The sequence below is a fragment of the Homo sapiens genome, chromosome 9 (assembly GCF_000001405.40).
Source record: "Homo sapiens chromosome 9, GRCh38.p14 Primary Assembly".
Taxonomy (NCBI): Eukaryota; Metazoa; Chordata; class Mammalia; order Primates; family Hominidae; genus Homo; species Homo sapiens.
In genome coordinates this window covers 84,664,919-84,687,364 of record NC_000009.12, presented here as the reverse complement: position 1 = coordinate 84,687,364, position 22,446 = coordinate 84,664,919, and the positions used below count along the sequence as shown (strand labels likewise).

Below are 22,446 nucleotides of genomic sequence, written 5' to 3'. Positions count from 1 at the left end.
TTGTGCAAATGAGACAAATGAGACAGCCAAGAAGTTAAATCCTAGAGGGTCACCTAGGCTTATCGTGAGAGCCAATGACTCAATTCCAAAAATAAGACTTTTCTCATCAGAGTTAAACATTTTATGTTGGTTCCATAATTCCCATTCCAAAACCAGGCACAGTGACTTACACCTGTAATCCCAGCATTTTGGGAGGCCAAAGGCAGGTGAATCACTTGAGCCCAGGAGTTCAAGACCGGCCTGAGCAACAGGGCGAAACCCTGTCTCCACAAAAAAAGGAAAAAAACCCGTCAAATACATAATTCCCATTCATTTTTTAAAATTTAATTTTCAAATACACATGGAGTCTAAACCACTTTCATTTGTATACGTATTATGAATATACTGATTATATAAGCATAAATAAATAAAACATCAATAGATATGATTTATATTATTTATCTTAAGAAAGAATTATCTTTTTGATTATTCAACACAATTTATTAACCTATAGACTTCACTCTATTTTAAAAAGCCTTCTAATCTCATATGTCTATCAGTTGGGTTTTTTGATGAGTTTTGCAAGCACCTATCAAAACTTCTCAAATGTCTAATAGCGTTAATTTTTATAAATATAAAGGAAGCCCCATGAAACATTCATAGGATCAGCCCAATGCATTTTTACTGCAAAAGTGCAAAAGTATATGTATCAGATGGTACATTAAACTAGACCTGACACATTATCTTTTTATACTCCTGATGTTTGCAATTCTTTGAGAAAAATGAACAGCCTCTATCATCCGTACTCCAAGAAGGATAAATCACATCCGAAATCTCACACCAGAATTGCCTTTTAAGTGAAGCCCCATAAATGCAGTCGCAGGGAAAACTGCAATTGATCCACAAGGATATCCATTATTAGCTATTACCTAACAGAAAAGGCACAAATCTTTCTCATTAGACCTATTTGTTTGTTGGAGATCAGGTGACCCTGGAGTGATTCTTTTCCCCTGGATTTTCCTCTGTTGCTGAGCTTGTGTGCTCTGCATCTCTCTTCATCTGCAGAACGCCCTCATCCTCCCCTCTCTTTGCTGTCCCTCCTTCCTGTTGGATATGTAATCAGCCTGCCTCATCAAGGCTTTGCCTTTTTTCCTTTCCACAATTAATCAATCTCTTGCTGTGCATGAACTAACACTGTGCACTTTAATTCCATAAAGGTCATTTATATAAACAAACATCTTAACTTGATAGCTTGAGAAAAATTATGTCTAGAGATTTACATATTGATGACCCAGAGACCAACTAATACTCTTATTTAGAGTTCTAGATGATAGATTTATGTGTATATATATGGGGGTGGGGAGAAGGTGCTCATGAGTGCATATCCGTGTGTATTTGTGTAACACAGAGAACTAGGATATTGTGCTAGATGCTAGGAAAGAGCAGTAAACAAGATCCATATGTCCCTGCCTTCATGCAGTTTATGTCCTAACGGTGTGTACAGACAGGTGCACAGGCACACACTGATGATACTAAGTGACCTACGCTGCGATGTGAAACACAGGGGGCTATAAGAGCATGTAGTGGAGGGGACATAGACCAGGTGTAGAGGCAGAGGAAGCAACATCACAGCCAAGGCCTAAAAGATAAGCAGGAGTTAGCCAGGGTAGAAGGCAGAGAGGACAACCTGGAAGATAAGTGAGAATATAGCTCAGTAGATAAATTGAAAACTCAGAGTGGCTGTATCATGGCATCAAACAAAGGTAGAGGCATGAAATGAGGCTGAGAAATGGCTTTGAATTTGAGGACACGGGGCTTTCAAGACTTGATAAGAAGTTGTCAGCCTTTGCTATATAAGTGTAATGCCATCTTTGTTAAAAACACCACTATCAAGCAGGGGAGCTAGGCAAGCAGTTCCTAAAATTCATGTGGAATAATCATCACGCTAGAATCATCCTGAAAATTCTGAAAGAAGACTGATGAGTAAGACACTAATACTTCAAGTAGAAAAAAAAAAAAAGAAGAAGCTGTGGGAGATAAAATTTAATGCTGGCATGTAAATAGACAGACTGATTAATGGAATAGGCTAGATCCCTAAACAGGCCCAAACACAAAGGTAGTCCTGCCACAGAACCAAATTGCTATTTTAAATTAGCGAGGGAAAGATAGCATTACATAACTAATAAGATCCAGAAACTGATTGGCTATACTGAAAAAAAAAATAATAAAACAATTGTTACATCATTCCATATATTTTTAAAATTTAGATAGACAAAAGCTTTAAAAGTAAAAACATATAATAGTAAAAGTAGTAGAAGAAAATATAAAATTGCTCATTTTATACTCTTAGAAAAGGGAATAATCTTCTTAGCCACACCTACAACATAGAAAAAAAAAATAAGCTTTACTAGAAAAAAACTTAATTCTGCTTCACAAAATAGGAGGAAGAGAAGGAGGAGAAGAAAAGAAATATCATAATCCTTAACTGACATTAGAAGACAAGCAAAACATTAGGTGAAGTACAAATTTTATTATTTTTTGAAAAGGCCATCAATTCAATTAAAAAAGAAAAGGGCTAAGTTCACGGAAAAAAAATACCAATGACTTACAAACATACGAAAAGACTTTCAATCTGAATCATAATTACATAATCGCAAAATACAGCAATTGAGGTACTATTTCTCAGGAAACTGGTTGACAAAGGACAAAAGGTTTGATAACAAAAGTTCAACGACAAATAGTACTGCCTTAATTGTAGGAAAGCAGACACTCCCAGTTTCTGTGGGAGAACAAAATGATGTGACCTCTTTGCAAAACAACTTGGCAATATTTACTTAAAAATCACAAATATTACTGAGCCTCAGAAATAACATCACACATCTACAACCATCTGATCTTTCACAAACCTGACAAAAACAAGCAATGGGGAAAGGATTCCCTGTTTAATAAATGGTACTGGGAAAACTGGCTAGCCATATGCAGAAAATTGAAACTGGACTCCTTCCTTACATCTTATAGAAAAATTAACTCTAGATGGATTAAAGGCCTAAATGTAAAACCCAAAACCATAAAAACCCTAGAAGAAAACCTAGGCAATGCCATTCAGGTATATGCATGGGCAAAGAATCCATGACTAAGACATCAAAAGCAATTGCAACGAAAGCCAAACTTGACAAATGGGATCTACTTAAACTAAAGAGCTTCTACACAGCAAAAGAAACTATCATCAGAGTGAACAGGCAACCTACAGAATGGGAGAAAATTTTTGCAATCTACACATCTGACAAAGGTCTAATATCCAGAATCTACAAGGAACTTAAACAAATTTACAAGAAAAAAAAACCCATAAAAAAAGTGGGCAAAGGATATGAATAGATATTTCTCAAAACAAGACGTTTATGTGGCCAACAAACAGATGAACCAAAGCTCATCATCATCCTCACTCATCATTGCATTAGAGAAATGCAAATCAAAACCACAATGAGATACTATCATGCCAGTCAGAATGGCGATTCTTAAAAAGTCAGGAAGCAATAGATGCTGGCAAGGCTGTGGAGAAATAGGAACGCTTTTACACTGTGGGTGCGAGTGTAAATTAGTTCAACCATTGTGGAAGAGAGCATGGTGATTCCTCAAGGATCTAGTCTCAGAAATACCATTTGACCCAGCAATCCCATTAAAGGGTATATACCCAAAGATTATTAATCATTCTACTATAAAGACACATGCACACATATATTTATTGCGGCACTATTTACAATAGCAAAGACTTGGAACCAACCAAAATGCCCATCAATGATAGACTGGATAAAGAAAATGTGGCACATATATGCCATGAAATACTATGCAGCCACAAAAAAGAATGAGATCATGTCTTTTATAGGGACATGGATGAAGCTGGAAGCCATCATTCTCAGCAAACTAACACAGGAACAGAAAACCAAACACTGTATGTTCTCACTCATAAGTGAGAGTTAAACAGTGAGAACACATGGACACAGGAGGGGAACATCACACACCAGGGCCTGTCAGGGGTTGGGGGGCAAGGGGAGGGAGATCATTAGGACAAATACCCAATGCATGTGGGGCTTAAAGCCTAGATGACAGGTTGATAGGTGCAGCAAACCACCATGACACATGTATACCTATGTAACAAACCTGTACATTCTGCACATGTATCCCGGAACTTAAAGTAAAATAAGCAACAAGAAAACACACACACACACACAAATCACAAATATCTTGCAATTTTCCTGCAATTCAAATTCTAGGAACATTTCCTATAGATAAAATTATGCATGTGATGTTAGGAGGTGGGGCCTTCTGGAGGTGATTACATCATTAGGGTGGGATGAGATTAATGCCCTTTATAAGAGAGGCCAGAGAGAGCTTATTTGTGCCTTCTGCCATGTGAGGACACAAGTAGAAGGTACACACAAGAACTTGTACACTGGAGTTGTCCAGTAAGAAGTTGGTTAAATAGAGTCTATTCATCCAGTGGATTTCTGTGCAGCTGGGAAGAAAATAAGGTTGGTTACATATGTTTATCCAGAAACATTTTTAAGATACATCGTCAAGTGAAAAACGACCAAGATGTAGAAGAGGGGGTATAGCATGCCCTCATTTGTGTACAAACTAAAAAGACCTATATATGTGCTATATATGTAAGACAAAGATTTCTGAAAGGGGACCGACACAAAATAAAATCAGTGGTTGTTATTGGAGAGGGGAGCTGAGGGATTTTAGAGGGTGGGAGTACATGGTGGGAGGGAATTGCCTGGGCTCTCGAGGTCGAATTTGGGCAACAAGATTGGAGTAGACAGAGCCCTAAGAGAGACATTAGATAGGATCCTATCCCTAACTATGCTCTGCTTTACCAAAGGGCCCAGGCAAACTAATAAACCTGACAGCCCCTCAGAGGCTGCCAAAACCTCCCCAACTTCTTCAGAGTGAAGGTACACTCTTTGTAACAAGAGTTACAAAGTGTATTCATGGTACACTCCTTTGCGCTGCTTGCATTTCTGATCACTTTCAAATATTACTTTAAAAAATATAATTACCAGCTAAATTCCATACAATAAAGTTAATGCATTTCAGAGAGAAGATGTGCAAAATCACTTTAAGGAATTTGAAAGGCTCCCAGACATGAGAAGCATTGGTTAAAGGCACTAACCTTTCCAAAGAAAGAATACATCAATCAGCATTGGTGTTGGGCAGTGAATGAAGGAGAGGAAAAGGAGTGTCCATCCAGGGGATACAAGTCTGGGCCAAAGTACTTCAAGTTCTACATTCCCTTTGTGAAGGCTCTCCCATTATGGAGATGGATGCCTCAGGCAAGCTTAGCTTAATGCCATTTAACATTTTAAATGCAAAATTAAATGCCCTTGCTCTAATTCCAAGATCACCAAGCAAGCTTCCAGTTATAATTTGTTCTTTTTTATAGAGCTGCTGGTGTAGAAAAAGACTGTTATGCTGATCTGTGCATTCTGGTCCATGTAATAGTTATATGCCTCTTTATATAGCAATATAGTGACAATTTTGTTCTATTCTTTAAAAACTGAAACAAAAATAAACAACTTTAGGCATTATTTTAAGAGACACTGGGAGCCAGAGGGTAATTATAAGCAGTGACAGGATAAGATCAGCATTTCAGATAGACCGCTCCAGCTACAGTGTGGCGTATGGGCAGAGAGGGGACAAGACTGGAGGCGGGGATGCGAAATAGGAAGCGATTGCAGCATTTTAGGCAAAAGATGATGATGGCATGAATTATATTGTTTTTATGTTAAGTACTTATTAGATGTTTGTTCCCCATCCCCCACTCCCACACACTGCAAGCCCGGTAAGAAGAGACCAGGGCAGTTTTTCTCACCATATCCCATGTACCTAGCTAGTTCCCAACATAGAGAAGACCCCAATCAATATTTGTTGAAAGAATGATTGAATAATGTCAGTGGAAATATTAAAAATTAGATTTAGGAAATACTTAGGAAAATGGATTGACAAGACGTAATATGTGAATGAGTGTAGGGGTTACAGAGAAGGAAGAGTCACGGTTTGTGGCTTGTATTACTGAGTGGATAATGGTGCCATTCATTACAATAGGGAACACTGGCAATGGGTTTGGGGCAACAATGAAAAATTTTGTTTAGAAATAAGAAGTGTGACACACTCTCCTGTATCTGAGAGGGGTATTGCACACATGAGTCCAAAGGTCTTCACTGATAATTGATGGGGAAACAGATTAGGACATCATTAGCACAAAGAAGGTAACATAAGTAATGGATGAGGGTGATGTAGCCCAGAGATAGCCCAGGAAGTGAAGCAGCCATAGGACAGAATCCCAAGGGACATAAACTTTTAAGGTCTGTTTTTAAGAGCAGAGAAAAGGGAACCGACAAATAAAGCAAACAAGTAGCATGCAGAGAGATAGAGGGAAAACAAGAAAAGTGTGGTGACACCAAGGCCAAAGGAAAAGGATGTTTCAAGAAGGAGGGAGTGAGAAATGAAGCCAAGTTCTGCTAAGAAGTCAAGTAAGATAAGGACAGAGCAATATGGCCCATGAAGGCTTCTGGGGACTATGGTGAAGTGAGTTTGAAAAACAGTGGAATGGGACTGGTATAAGAGATAGGAAAATAGACATAATGAATACAGATCACTCTTCCAAGATCTGGCTTTGAAGGGAGAGGTACTTTAGTCAGGAGCAGAAGGAGAGGGAGGGAATCACACTAAAGAAAAACTTTTCTAAGATGGGAGGAACATGAACCTGCTTCAATTCTTATCTTAAAATGTGGAACAATAGAAAGAAACAGAAAATACAGGTATGTGAGAGAGGGAAAATTGCTGATAGAAAAAAGCTCGAGGTTGAGTGATTAGCTTCAGCTGAAAGGCGCTCCAGCCCTTCCATCGTAACTGGTTGCAGATGCAAGTTGCAGCTTACTCTAATGCAGTATGAGTGGAGGTGGCCCCAGGAATATCAAAAATTATTTGACAGAGAGAAAATAATGAAACTCAGCTGGATTACTGCTACCATAGGAAGTAAGGATTGGGAATTACTCACATCCCATCTACACATCAATGCTTCCCACTATTGGGAGTGTTTAGATGTGTATGCATCTGTCTCTTGCTAGATATAAGCTGCTCAGGGGCTCCTTGCCTCTGCAGAGTACCCTGTTTGTTGGACATCTCCATGTCCTCAATAACACTAGTGACACTGAACTACTTTTTGCATGATGGCAGCCCACCCACATGACAATCAGGAAATGTGACAAACTATTCCACCAAGATGAAAAGACAACTTGATGAGCAGAAAAATAAGATTTGATGTCCATGAAAGCTTCTGCTCTTGGGGGTCACAGAAAACAGAGACTAACCAAAGAGGTCAGTTAGAAAACTTGCCAGAGCCTCATCCACAGAAGTGGGCCAGGAATGGGCTGAAAAAGTCTTGAACACTACTCCCAGGGAAAAAAATAAAAATTTGTTTCTATTGGTGGGAAACCATGGAAGGGCTGTCACCCAGGATGGCAGGAAGCTGGTGACCTGCAAAACCATCCAGCCTCAACGGCAGAGCTGGACTTAAAGAAAACCTACTGGTCAGGTTTCTGCTGTTTAGCCACCAAAAGAACTGAAGCAGGCTCTTGTTTGCCCCTGGAGTGAAGGCAATGGTGAATTCTTGAACAGAAAAGGAAACACTAGTGCTCATGGCTGACTGATTCAGAACCACAGAGTCTTTCAAGGAGTAGCATGCATGAGTGTCACAGCCTCCAGGTTCAAGATGAAATCAGTCAGGCTGGTGAGGTCAAGTGGCTCAACCAAAATCCCAGACCCTGATACTGTCAGAGAGTGGGTATCCAAAATCCTAGATCCCTAACCAGCGCTCCTTTCAGTTATACCACGTTCCTATACTTTGTCGCCTTTCCCACTGTGTTAACCTTACCAAGCCAGGTTCAGTTGAAACAATGATGGTCTGCCCACAGGTCGTCCACCAGAAAAAAGTACACAAGTCAAGATTTCTTTACAATCCATTAAAGGGGGTTTACAGCCAAATGATTGTTTGTATATATATGTCTGTGATTTGGGAACAGAGGAGAAGGGGATAAGAAACACCACCAGAAACAGAAAGAGGCTGAAGAGTTGCAAAGAGAAAGGCCAAACCCATGTACCTTAGTCCATGTGGGCTGCTAAAATAAAATATCTTAGACTGGGTAATTTATAACAACAGAAATGTATTGCTCACAGTTTTAGAGGCTGAGAAGTCTAAGATCAAGGTTCTGGGAGGTTTCATATCTGGTGAGGGCCCATTCCTCATAAATGGCACCTTCTATGTGTGTCCTCACATGGCAGGAAGGACAAACAAGCTCTCTGGAGTCTCTTTTATAAGGGCACCAATCCCATTTTGCCTTTATGTCCTAATCAACTCCCACCTCTCAACACCACTACCCTGGTGACTGAGTTTCAACACATGAATTTTGGCAGAATACAAACATTCAAGCCATAGCACCAGACGCACACAAGAAATAACCAAGGAGCAATATCATCTATAACATTCTTTGAGTTTGGGTGGTAGCAGCAGGGTTTTGAAGTAAAATTGGGAGTAAACTAAAAAGAGTGTTCTGGTTTGGGGTTTTGTTTTGTTCTTTGGAGAAAGACACTTGTTTTGTTTTGTTTTGTTTCACCATAGTTGTGTGTTTTTTTGTCACACCTTACCAGGGAATCTAGGGGCTATGATGTCAAGCTCTCTTGCCCAGCACCCTCCACCCCTACACATGCATCACACAGAGGAATAAGCCAAGCCCAGAAAAGAGAGGTCACTTGCCACACAGTGAGCAAGAGTCAGACAATTCAGGCATAGGCCCCTCTGCCACCTCACAGCAAGGGACTCTGGGGTACATGAAGTAGAAACAACTCTTGTTACAAAGATTAGCGTTGAGAAGATCCTTTCTTTTTAAATTGCACTATATTGCAGAGGTTGAAACCAAAATTCCGATACCTTTCAATTTTGTTTACATTGTTCGTTTATGTTGAGAAGATATCAAAGAATCAGAAGATAGACACAGTGGGTCTCTGAGTGACCAGGTCGGCTAACAGGGTCAATGCACTAATGCTCAAGTACTTCTCTCAAAGAAGACAGCCCAACCAGATCCTGGCCAAGGGACATCCAGAATGATAAAAACAAAATTAAAATAGTGGTTTAGGGAAGCACATTCTCAATTATTCAGAAAATTTTACAACTCAAGATAATTAAGTTGAACAAATTACACATGGCAGAGTTTTATACACAGATTTATGTATTGATGAAAACACGGTACACACATACAACATTATGGTGTGTGTCTATGTGTGTGTGTGTAGACAATTCTTGGGATATGAAGATTACAGGAAAGGATGGGATGCTAAGTAGCAATTTGTCCTTATTTGACATAAAAAAAGGAACTCTAAATGGTGTGTGATTATTAACAGTTTTATTTTGTACAAGAAGATGCCATATTACCAAAGGCAACCAAATCATTTATCTCTTCACAATATATATCAGACTGCTCAGGAGCTGAACAGGAGAAGAGGATAGGGGTGGGGAAGACAGAGGATGAAGCACCAGCCCACCTCCTTCCCACTGCATGAAGTTTAATCTGTGAACATGAATTCAAATCTCTAGACCTCTCCTAGAATTGCCTTGGCTCTCGAGGTCAAATTTGGGCACCAAGGTTGGAGTAGACAGAGCCCTAAATGAGACATTAGATAGGATCCTACCCCTAAATTATGCTCTGCTTTACCAAGGGGCCCAGGCAAACTAATAAACCTCACAGCCCCTCAGAGGCTGCCAAAACCTCCCCACCTTCTTCAGAGTGAGGCTGTAAACCTAAATAAGCAGATGTCTGTAAAGGGCCCTTCACGTCCCATGGGAGCAAATCTTCATGCAACCAAAAATATGTCTCAGAAGGGTGCTTTTCCTGGAAAGGTCTCAGAGCAGAACACGAACAACACATAAAATGGTAGCTGGATGAATTTTGGATGGGAGCCAATAATCCTGAAGTTTGCTCACTGGCTCAGCCACTGAGACTAGTCATCAATCTTGAGGCATTGAGAAGTCAGGGGGAAGAAAGAAGTCGGGGAATAATAAGTACTCTCTGGCCACAGGTCTTTCAGGGCAGCTAACACAGACCTCATCGAAAGGGCTGCGGGTTTCTCCACTTACATAAGCACCCCCGACTGTGGCAAAGACTCCAGGGGCAACAGGTTTCATTTCACTCTGTCTGCTCTGCCCCTCTTCTAATGCCAATCTGCAAAGATGGCCCAGCAGGCCCAAGGTTAGCATACCTCATTGCTGCCAACTCATGAAGGCTTTTCTCTGAAGCTCAAATTTTTTGTGTATGAATTGCCTAAAGAAGAGGAACACTTCAAATTTAACACACACACACACACACACACTCACACACAGTAAGCTAAACAGAAAATATATTTCTTCCTATATGAAGATAAGATGATTGCTTTCAGATCAGTAGCTCATGCACTTTTCAATTACTTGGTCTCTCACAGAGATGAGTTTGCACAGACTTAGCCATGTTAAACTTGTCTCCCCATTTATGGTGGTTCTATTAGGTTGGTGCAAAAGTAATGGCAAAAACCACAGTTACTTTCGCACCAACCTAATAAAATGATGAGCCAGAATTAGGCGGTCTGTTTGAGAACACAGAACGGAGGGGAGGCACCCTAAAGCAAAGGCCCCCAGCATTCATTTGGATGCTAGGAGAAGGAGCTTCTAGTTCCCACAATGCTGTTAATGAGTCGGCCTTCGGCAACTTTCTTCACTGCCCTTGATTTTTGCAAAGAAGAGGCTGAAGCAGATCATTTCTAAAGCCCTTTCTCTTTCTGAGGTTCCGATTCTAAGTGACCCATCTGAACACTGACCCTGTGACCTTGGACTCATCAGACCAGTACTAACATGCCACTAGCCTTGTTAGCAGCTCACATTTAAAAAGACATGGTTTGAGGGAGTTCAGAGCAGACACTGAAAACATTTCCACATAACACTCTGACACCAAAGGTCTTCAGATTCACACACTGCCAGACCCCGAGCACCTTGTATCATGCCCTTCCTTCACAGCTGATGTATACACTTCCTTATCTCCGTGACCGAGGCTTCAGGGAACTTCAGAGCCTTGAGAAACTTGTCTGAGCATCAAATCCAAAGCCCTCAGTTTACATGTGACAAGCTGAGGCCCAGAAACATTAAAAGGCTGCTTCAAGATCAGGTAACTGGGTAGTGACTGGGTAGTGGTGACATTGGGATGAAGTTCCAGGTCTCCTGACTTCAGCTTTCCATGATATGCTTTTTTATTTTTATTTTTTGAAACACATAAGGAATAAACTTAGTATCTACACATTGCTTTTCTTTGCAAGATTTTTGTAACTTTGAGCACATTCACTCATCCATCTCCCAGATCAATATTTATAACTTCCCAGTCCTTTGGACACCCCAGAGAGCAAAGTAAGTGGTGAGAAGGCACCCAGTTATATGGGACCTTTACTTTTCTAATGGAGATTGATCAGCAATCAAATGTGAGCTAAAATTATCAGGCCACAGTGGAGCTCAGATCTTTGCCATTTGAGGCTTGAGGTGGGATTTGTTTTAAAATAGCTCAACCAAGTAGACTATAAAAATGATTGATCAACCATAAATAATCCAAGATTCAGGGTTTTTTTTCTTCCCTCTATCTTTCTCTCTCTCTCTCACAAACACACATCAAACAAGTAAAAACTTTGCCATGCTTCAATAGTCTCTCCCCCAAATCCTCCTATTGATTACAGGCATCAGAAGCAACTAAAAATTGGCATTGTTCCAAGGGGCAGGTCTTTCATGTCACATCCTACGCTATAGCTTTTGAACCTACAAGAAACTCTCTAGAGAAGTGGTAAAGTTAGCCAGAGGGATAAGGCCAGTTTATGGTATTCAATAATGGTTTGATAATGTTTTTTTCCCTAGCAGGCAAGATGACCAATGAGTTAAAACTGGATGCACTTGCTTAACACTCAAGGCAAAAAAAAAAAAAAAAAAAAAAAAAAAGGAAAGAAAGAAAGAAAGGAGAAGAGAAAAGAAATTCAATTCCCCTTCCCCAGCTAAACAAAAACACTAGTTTTTATACTCCTATGACCTAGATATAGTCAAAGAGATCATACAGAATATTACTAGGGAGAAAGAGACCTCAACTCTCAGCTGTTCAGCCAACTCTTCAGCTTAGAAAACACCTTTATAAGGGAATATTGAAGCAGACACAAACAGAGGTTTATGGGATAGAAACAGTGAGAGACCTTAAACAGACCTAAACTCCACACTAGGGAACTGGGACCACATTGCTTCAACTTCCCAATACTTGCTTGTAATAACATACAGCCCAGGCTCTTCTCTTAACTCCAGCATTCTGAATTCCCATAAGGAAATATCACTTTTCAGAGAAGAAAAAAATCAAACCCATTTTCCTGTATAAATAATGGGTGATGGAAGGGGAGGTGGAAGAAAGTAGGGTCAAAAGGGTCACAAGGCTTTTCCACTGTTTTACCCAGGGTAACAAAAGTGTCCATATTGCAGAGATTGAAGGTATGAAACTAAAAAGACTCCACACAGTTGTGCCAAGCTGATGTCTGTAAATACCTACACTATGAAGACAGCATGTTCTCAACTCCAGCTTGCAAGTTGTATTAAATAATGAATGATGTAAATTAGACTGCCTTATTCATTAACAAGTCTAGTGTGGCTTATGTAACCGTGCTCCAAATTTAAATACATGGCTCTTAAATGCATATAAGACACAGTCCAAAGTTCTAAAACCCCCAATGGAGGGGCTGAGAAGTAAACATCAGAGTAATAAAAATTGATGCCTTTCACTGAATCTTTGTGAATGCCAGGATTTTTTTTTAAGTACAATTAATTGCAATGGCAAAGCTTATTAAAGTAAGAGGGCCAAAATCAATGTATTAATGACACAACATTACAGCTGCTTAACCAGGCCAACAATAAATTGCACATAGAGTCTGTCATAGGAGAAGCTCCAAATTCTATTTAGGTTGTGCTAAGAGGAAAAATATAAGGCTGTTCTCAAATATTACCCCCAAATCAGAGAATACCACTGGAGAAATTCAAAAAAAAGATCCCTATTAGTCTTCATAAAGCACGTGCAACATAAAAATGCATGCCCTTCCACAGCAACATGGATACACAGAACACTACTGAACTGTAAGATGGTACATTTTAGGTTATGTATTTTTTTTTTACCACAGCTAAAAAAATGCACGACTTCTTTTGACTGTGCCTTTTACCACTTGGGTGAAACAGAACTTGTCCTTTGCAATGCACTTTGGCACTTAATACAACTGGGATTTAAACGGCCAGTTACATAATTCCAACAACAGGCTTCACTCTTGAATTCCATTGCATGTGACATTGGTACTGCGTTTAAATTCATTTTAACACTGCTGTGGTATAACCATTTCCAAATAACAGGAGCTGCCACTTAGCAGTGTGATGTTGAGCAGGCGTGATACATACCTATAGATAGATATTGATCTAGTTATGTCACATTAGTGGGCAAAAAATATAAAACAGGTACTGTGATGGGAAGATTTTTAATAAAATAGGTTCAATGACTCTGAAGACAAAATGTCAGCTTAGCTGAAAGCATGCATGTAAAAACAAAACAAAACAAAAAGATCCTACCTCTTGGTTAATCTACACATTTTTTTTAATGTCCCACTATTTGTGTTCTTAGAACCCTAAGGGCATGATGGTTTAATATATAGATGCTAAAAGATACACCATTTTTGAATGATATGGTAAACCGTTGTTTCAGCAAGTTGTGTGTTGCTAATCACAGTTTATTCACCACATTATTTCTATTTTTAAAAAATAGACGCACGTAACTTCAGCTACATACCACTAAACCAGAACTTTACAACAGGTTATTTTAGGAATACCACTGGGCCTAACAACAAAGTTTTAAAATATGTATAATTTGGTTCCAACTGTAGCTGGTATCCACTGGACAAGAATTTAAAAGCTGTGCAAGCAAATATTAATATGTAAGAAAAAGAACATAGATGGTGTCATATAAGGATGCGAGTGAAACAAGCGCATCCACTGATGTCATTTTTAGGTCAAAAAAGCAGAATTCAAAATAATTATATGGAGTACTTTCCAAAGAAGTATTGTCATACGAGTTACAGACAAAGGCACTGGGGCACAAACTGGCTGGGCTCACACAAAGCTGAGATAGAGCAGAGAAACATACTTTGTCTCAGGACTCACATCTACCCAGCCAGACTAATATTACTAACCTAATTCCCTGTTCTCAACACTTAGCCCTATATACCTCTCCAATCCCACAACCCCAAGAGGTTTTCAAATCAAAAGGGAAAAAAGTTAGAGTAGAAATTAGAAGTGCCACGATTGAATGAATAACTATGACACATGCTTTTGTAAATATTTTTAAAATCTACTTTAAAAAAGCTGAAAATAGGAACCTGCCATCAGATATAAAAGAAGCAACAACAATTGTGAGGACAGATATAAGAAAGCTCTGCTGAAATCAATTGATTTCATATACATCAGGCAGCTAAGATCAGGAAGGTCTGAAATAATAATTTTTTAGATTTAAAGATAGTTTTATTTCCTTTTTCTCAGATCATGGCCTTAAAATTATCAAACAGAAAAACAAAGTGAAAATGATCAGCCCTATCTTCTTTCTTTCTTCATTATATGCATCTATCACCTAAAACAGAATTTTAAAAGCACCACCACACACACACAACAATATCTGACTGTGGAAGGCACTCCCCATAATCTCAAAACAGTCAGAAGCACTCTGAATTCCATATGGCCTTCTCCATCTAACTACTGACACCCCATCTCATGAAAAAGATTCTGACAAAAGGCCACAGACTTTGGACCAGCCTGGTAAGCCTCAACCAGCCCAGTCCAAGACCACCACAGTTGGGGCCCTATCCACCCTTGCTCTCCGCTCTTGGCTCCTGCTCTCCTTGCCAAAAAGATAGAGATCCTAGCACCCTGGACTCAGCCCGACAGTTGGCTGCTCCCGACACATCTCAGCTATGCTAGGCCTGAACATTCCCCTCTGCTCTGCTGTCATTTCCTTTTGCCTGAGGCTTACACCATAAGCATCAGCAGCAGAACAGGCAACAGAGACTAGGAAGGTCTCTTACTTACATTAAAAAACAGGTTATCTTGGTCAACTACGTTGGCAGAAACATGGTTGTATGTTTTCTGTGGAAGGAAAAATGCATGCGCACTCGACAACCGGAAGGCCACAGCCCAAGCCCCACTTTAGGGCTGCCTATCTCAGTATCAAACACAATAAGGAAAACTGGGAGAAACTTTGCCTTACAATCTTCCACGTATACGAATAAAATCTCATGTTAATGAGATGTATGGAATGACAGCATCCTTCAGGAAAAAAATGATAACAATAACAGTCCAGTAGAGGTGACACAGGAATGCTAGAGAAAGGACTGGCAAGTTCTTGCTTGGTGATGCATTTGTCACAAAGCATCAGAAAAGGAGAATAGAAATACACAGTTCTGTTTCTTCAAGCCACAACAAGCTCAAACATTTCCAGGGACACAGAGGTCCAATGCTAAAGCCAGCCTTCATCAGAGTTCTACCCAGTGCTTTATCATCCAACCTAGTCCTGGGAAATTATTCAATGGGCAATTAAGAGTTATAATCCAAGTGGTCTCAAAATCATATCTCTGGGAAGTCAAGTCCAAATTAAATTAGACCAGGCTTTTAGGCTTCCAACTATCATATTTTTTTCTTTTGAGCGAGTGCATTTCAACACTCAGAACTTCTCCTCTTACAGATCATTTTCAAGGCCATCTCTGGATGCCATCTCCTAAGCAAAATCCGATATATAAAATGAAAAGGGAAATTGGTTAACTTAAATCTCAAAAAAGATGTTAAGGGAGAGACTGTCACTTCCCTCAACAGATTTGGGAAAGTTAATTATTTTAACCTCTTTTCTAGTGAATATTAATGGAACTTCTAACACAACATACACACAGCACTTTATGAAACAAAAATGCCCAAAACTAAGTTAGTGCATACTGAAAGCCTAAAGCACACCCAGCAGAGCTTTGAAATATAAAAAGCATAGTGAGTTCCTTCCCACGAGGAATAAATATATAATCGGCATATGTATATCTATATTTGAAACTTATTCTAAAGTGTCACACTTCTCCCTGCACTAGCAGTCCCAAGCCAGTGAAACAGCAGGTAACTGACAGATGACCCTGTCCTGCATCCCTTGTCTTTGACTTCTCCCCACTCTTGGGACAGCATTCACTTCCAGGACCTACCCACCTGGCCAGCTCGGGCCCTAGGGGCAAGGAGAAAAAGGAGGAAAAGCTCCAGGAACTCACATTTCGGTGATGTTCTCAGGATCTACACTGTTAGGCTCCAATCTCGGAAATGCCACGATGCCAGGAGAAGGGTCGCTGCACCAGATCCGAGAGGCACTGCATTTGCAGGACGTGGGACAGGCGAAAGCGGCCCTCCAGAAGCCCACAACCAGCCAGCAGAAGCCCCAGAGCCGCGCCATGGCGGGTCCATGCCACCTTATCCAGGACGACATCCCTAGCAGCCAGTGCCAGCCCGAGTGCCTGTCCCCGCGCTGCACCGGCCGCTTTCCCCCACCCGTGCGGGGAGGCCTTCCCTGCGCTTGCGGCTCTCTTAACTCCTCGGTGCTTGTTGCGGGCGTGCCGAGTCCAGCTTATCAGAGGCTGAGCTGGTCCGGAGCGAAGAGTGTTCCGGCAGGCGGCAGGGTTCACAGTGGCCCCGGCATAGCGAACCGCTTTACAGGGGGGCGCTACCGCTGCTCGGAGCTCCGCGGCGGCCGTCGCTGCATGGCCCGGCGCGCCGGGCACCGACCGGCGGCGCTCCCGGGACTCTCTGGGGCGCAGATTCCTTGTTAGATGCGAATGGGGGTCCGGTATGCACCTCGAGGCTGAGGACAAACAGACACGCGTAAGACTGAGCGTAGGACCCCCAACACCACTAATTGGGGCACTCTCCCTCTCTGCTCGCGTCATCCCCACCCCGACCCCAGCCCGGAGACTGTGGATGGATGAGTGCCCAGCTCCGGCCCAGGAATCAACTTGCCCCGCGATGGCACTGACGCCGCTGGAGCCACCAGTGTGCCCACTCTCTCTTCGAGCCTGAGGCCAAGGGAGGGGAGGTAGGGAAAGGGTCCCCAAGACAGGATTCCATGGTACAGGCCGGGCGAAGGACCCTTTAAAGGGGAATGCGGAGACTGCCGGCGGCTTTGGCTCCGCGACGGGGCCCCCGAATGATGCTGCAGAATCCGCCACGGCCGCTGGGTGCCGGTGGCGCGGGCAGGTGGCGCGGCACGTCCCACCTGGGGAGTAGCCGAGGCCGCCCCAGGGGGAGACAGTGAGGGCCGAGGCGACCGAGGGCACTATCTGCGCTGCTCACCCGGGCTCCGGCGCCTCACGCCCGCCGGCGGCGCCTGGGTCCAGGCTCCTGCTACCGCCGGGGACTGAGCGCGTAGAGCGCGAGCGAAGCAGCCAGCGAGGCTCCTGCTCCAACCCAATTCCGGGAGCCGCCGCCGCCGCCTCTGCTACTGCTGGCGAAGTGACGTGAGGGCTGACGCAGAGCAGGGGCAGAAACTCCAGAAAATTAGTCTGAAATCCAAAAACACACACACGCTCATACACACACAAACCCATAACACCCTCCAGACAAAAGCACCAGGGAGGGGAGGGGAATCTGGGGGCGAGCAGGGAGGAGGGAGGCATCGGTGCCACTGGCCAGAAGCAGACAGCAGCAGCATGTGGGAGTTCACACACGCGCGCACACACGCACACATCCTGGCCGTGTAGACATGCACGCGCGTGCGTGTGTGTGTCTGTGTGTGTGTGTGCATTTACATCCAGGTACCTCTAAGATGAACCGTTCCTCCGTTCGACGCCTCCCGGTCCCTAATTCACACCACAGTCTCTTCTACAATCGCGGTAGAGGCTGTCTCCCTTTTTGAAATGGAAACCGTGCTTGGTTCAGCTCTGAAAAATGCGCTGATTCTTATTATAGGAATCCTCCCTCCCTTCTCCCTCCCCGCGTTCTCCTTTCCCACCCTGCCTAAAAGGGAGGGCAAGCTATCCTAAAAATAAATAAATGTTGTAAACACCAAAACGTGTTCTGCATTGGTAACCAAGGATCACCGCCCCCATTCCGGGCCACCTATTTGGGGATCGGTGGTTTTGGAGGGGCTTCCTGTTGGTGCTTTTGCAGAGGGAAGGGAGTCTCCAAACACAATTCTAGCTCTCTAAGTGGGTCTTTTTCCTGCCGTTTTCTGCCATCACACGCCCGGGAAATAGAGACATGTGAGGGGAAGGGAGCGCGCCTGATGCGTATTCTAAATGCTCGGTGGCCACCCTGGCCTGTCCGATGTGTGGCGCCGCGTCATTTTCTCTCATCCTTTAACCTGACGGGATGTAGCCATTCCCAGATCGTGGATTCACTCCCCGCGATGCCCACCCCCACGTAGGGCATCCCAAGCCCTTGCTCCCCTGCCGTACCTTGCGCGTGTTCATGTGTGCTAGGGTGTGCGCGAACGCGTGCCCTGCGCCCGCGCTGCCCGGAGCACGATATGCATCCAGCTACGAAGAAGCCAGGCGCGGGCAGAGCCTCGGGGTCTCACTAGGGACAAATTAGGCGATCCGGGAGGGTCGGGTGACAAACCGTAACTATTCTGCGGGTGCAGTTAAATGATGGCTGCGGGGCATTTGCAAGCCTTGTCTGAGAATCCGTCTTCCCTTTTGCGGCTCGGAATCTGTTTTTCCGCAGTCATTTAAAAGAGAACGGGGAAAATACACCGCAGTGCCTGACACTTCCGAGGGCTCTGGTGCCCCCGCGCGGGGAGAGAGCGCCCGGCACGCTCCGGAGCACCAGCCCATGGCCCGGGTCGCGGCGGGCACAGCGCTGGGGGCGCGCTCTGGCGCCAGATGCGCAACCAGCGGCGCCCGACGCCTGCGCGTCCCTGCCCGGCCGGTGCGCGGCTCTCCTGGCCTCGCCGAGCTCCTGCCCGGGGGAAAAAGGCGGGCAATCCTTCTCTCTCGAGAGAGCAATGGGTTGGAGTCTCGTTCAAAATATAGTAATAGTCACTGATCTACCCGCAGAGTTTGGGGATGGGAAGGATCAAGAAACCGAACGTTAGAGTGAATGCTCGGATCTAGGCCAAGCGTTAAATATTACGAAGGGAACGTAAAACATCTATTGGGGCTTTTTTGTACAGATCCTGGGCGCTGAGTGTAACCGCGGGAATTCTTGGACAGCACCCAAAAATCTTGCTGCAGGTCCCGAAAGCAAGGCCAGCAGGTCTATCTCACCACTGTCACTCGGCTGTAACACACATCGAGTGGTGAACGGCCAGGCTGAAGTTTACTCCTGAGCTGCGCCTCTATTCTCTACTAGGTGAGGACGCGCCAAGGAAGAGACGCCAAGGGCAAAAATGACCTGGTCTCAGACGCACGTAAAACTCCGCCTGTCTTGTCAGTGAACCTTAAGCGGAGAAGCCCCTGAGGAACACTTGGGGAAGGAAGGAGTGTGTGCGTAATCACCCACATTTCTCTCACACTCCCATACTCTGAGCCCATTTTTCTAAGAAACGGCCCATTTTCGCCCTAGTGGCTGCAGCATGTCAATGCGGTATGGAGAATAGGCAGTCTTACGGTGGTTTGTACACCAGAAGAGTCTAATTATGTTGGAATATTTGTAGAGTTTCTATTAGAGTAAATATATGCTACTATTATAGTTGGATTCTAAATATATTCCACTATCTCCCACTTAAAATTAGGATTTGCGGTCCTACTTCTAATCACCCTACTTCTGCTCTACTATTTCAACCATAGCAGTTTGTCCTTTGGACAGATAATTTACTTATTATATATATTTTTAAAATTTCTCCCAGAAGAATGTACACTCCATGAAGGCAGGGATTTTTATCTATTTTATTCATTGATATCTCTCAAGGACATAGTAGGTGTTAAAATATATGTGTATTTTTAATGAATAAATAAAATAAAATAAAGGAGATCTCACTTTCTTAACCTCTAAGTCTGCAAGAACCTGGATAATTCCCCCAGACACGCTCCTTCTCACCTTCACAATTTCAAATCTTCCTTGCGTTCTGAGTGCTCCTAGCACTGCTTAAAACCTTGCCTTACTTTCTGTCTCATTTAGTAGCCAGATAGGCTTCAGTACTGGGCCAGAGAGGGCCTCCCACTTATTCATGCTAGTAACTGAACACCTCCATGGACAGTGTCTAGAACACACTGGTGATCAGTAGCTATTTCTTAACTGATAGAATTGTGGATCTACCTCGATTTTAAGACCTATAAGATATGTCCCAGAGATCACTTCAAGGATTCTCAGATCACACCTTTGTAAGAGATGATGAACATTTTTCAGATGAACAATATAGAGATGACTTTTTTCTAGATCCCTTGAATGCAGGCATAGAAATTAAGTGCTGCAGGTTCCTACCTGCACTGAACCATGATGTACCTAGAGCAATGTTTCTCAAACTCTTTTGACCATGATCCACAATAAGAAATGCCTTTTATATCACAACCCAATGAACACATACATAAAGGCATATACTAACTAAAAAAGAAGTGTCATAATACAAAACTTACTTACCCTTAGTACATAAACTAATATATCCTTTTCTCTTCTACACCATTTCATTTCTGAATGCATGTAATAACTCAATACATTGATTTTAACATCCAATACTGAGTTGTAAAAAAATAAGCAAGAATACTGCCAACTTCTGATTAAAATGGAGTAATAGGGAACGGATTTGTTCTCTCAATCATATGACCAAAACACTGAACAAAATATATTAAAGTTAAGACAATGGATATAAGACAATGAAGGTCATCGTTCAGAGAGAAGGAACCCAGGCAGAGGCCATCTACCTAAGTTGAGGAGACTAGCTCAAGAGAAATCAAGGAGTGCAGAGTTCACAAGACAGAGTAGCAAAGAGAAGAGTATTGCCCAGAAAGAACTATGGACATCTGCAGAGGGTTCCTCTCAAGTATTCAGCATAGTGCTGATTGACACATGCAGGTAATAAAGCTACCTGAGGCCAGAGAAAGAAGCACGCAAAAGATTAAAGCGAATAGAGTTAAAACAAATCAAAAGGAAAATGTAAAACACTATGTATCAGAATTTGTGTGATACAACTAAAGCAGTTTTTAGAGGGAATTTTATAGCACTAAATTCCTGTATCAGGAAAGAAGAAAGATCTCTAACCAATGACCTCAGCTTCCACCTTAAGAAATCAGAGGGAAAAAAAGAACAAATTAAACACGAGGTAAGCAGAAGAGAAGAAATAATACAGAGCAGAGTGGAAAATAATGAAATAGAAAACATAAAACCAATAGAGAAAATTAATTAAATCAAGAGCTGGTTCTTTGTGAAGATCAATAAAAACAGCTAGTCCAACTGATCAGAAATAAAAAAGAGAAAACACAAAGGACCAATAACAGTAATGAGAGCAATTAAAACACTGAATATTTCATAGATATTAAATACTATGGATATATTGTGAACAACTTTATGCAAATAAATTTAACAACTTAAATGTAATGAACATATTCTATGAGAGATAAAAAGCCAATGAAACTCACTATAGAAGAAACAGATTACCTAAATAATCCTATATCTATTGTAAAACTTGAATGTCTGGTTTAAAACTTTCCACAAAGAAAACTCCACTCCCAGATGGCTTCATTGGTGAATTCTACAAAACAATGAAGGAAAAAGAATACCAATTTCATACACACTCTTCTAGAAAAATGAAGAGGAAGAAATACTTTCCAATTCATTTTATGAGGCCAGCATTACCTTGATACTGATATACAAAAACATTACAAGAAAAGAAAACAACAGTTCCTATTAATGTCAGTGCTAACATTCTAAGCAAAATTTCAGTAAATTGATTTCAACAATACATCGCACATCCAAAAACATCATGAGTAAGTGGAGTTTGTCTCATGAATCCAAGTTGATCTCATGGGGGCAGAGGGTTGACCTCATGGAGGCAGAGGGAGAATGAGGGTTACCAGAGTCTAGAAAGTGTAGTGGGGGTAGGGGATGTTTTTCCAAAAAGCAGTTAAAAGACAAGGAAATCCACTTTCACCATTTCTACTCAATATTGCATTGAAGATTTTAGTTAGTTCAATAAGTCAAAAAAAGAGAAATAAAAGGTATTCAGATTGGAAAAGAAGAATTAGACTGTTCTTTTTTAAAACATACAACGTTGAGTCCTGTATAGAAAATTTAATAGAATCTATGAAAAAGCTACTTATACTAATAAATGAATTATCAAGTTTGCATAATACAAGATAACTATTTACAAATCAGATATATTTCTATAT

The 22,446-nt window shown here is 42.0% G+C and overlaps 1 protein-coding gene across 36 annotated transcripts in view, besides 1 other annotated feature; it reads right to left on the bottom strand.

Moving 5' to 3' along the window:
* NTRK2 (neurotrophic receptor tyrosine kinase 2) overlaps positions 1-18,843 on the bottom strand; it is a 358,533-nt gene extending 339,690 nt beyond the window's left edge. For 6 of the 36 annotated variants that reach the window (XM_047423432.1, XM_017014752.2, XM_017014755.1 and 3 more), the window contains exons 1-4: positions 18,580-18,843; positions 17,942-18,063; positions 17,477-17,685; positions 16,405-16,988 (exon numbers count right to left, since the gene is read on the bottom strand). In XM_047423432.1, the coding sequence (XP_047279388.1) occupies positions 16,405-16,616 (212 nt within the window). In that variant the 5' untranslated portion in view covers positions 16,617-16,988; positions 17,477-17,685; positions 17,942-18,063; positions 18,580-18,843. Of the gene's footprint in view, positions 1-15,193; positions 15,275-16,404; positions 17,017-17,143; positions 17,686-17,941; positions 18,064-18,579 lie in introns of those variants that run through there. The other 30 variants (XM_017014751.3, XM_017014753.3, XM_017014760.3 and 27 more) reach the window with 15 other exon arrangements.
* Positions 18,892-19,111: a silencer, noted in NCBI's record as "silent region_19985". NCBI's record gives its function as "represses an Ori minimal core promoter by ATAC-STARR-seq in GM12878 lymphoblastoid cells {active_cell/tissue: GM12878}" and the evidence as "EXISTENCE:reporter gene assay evidence [ECO:0000049][PMID:35858748]".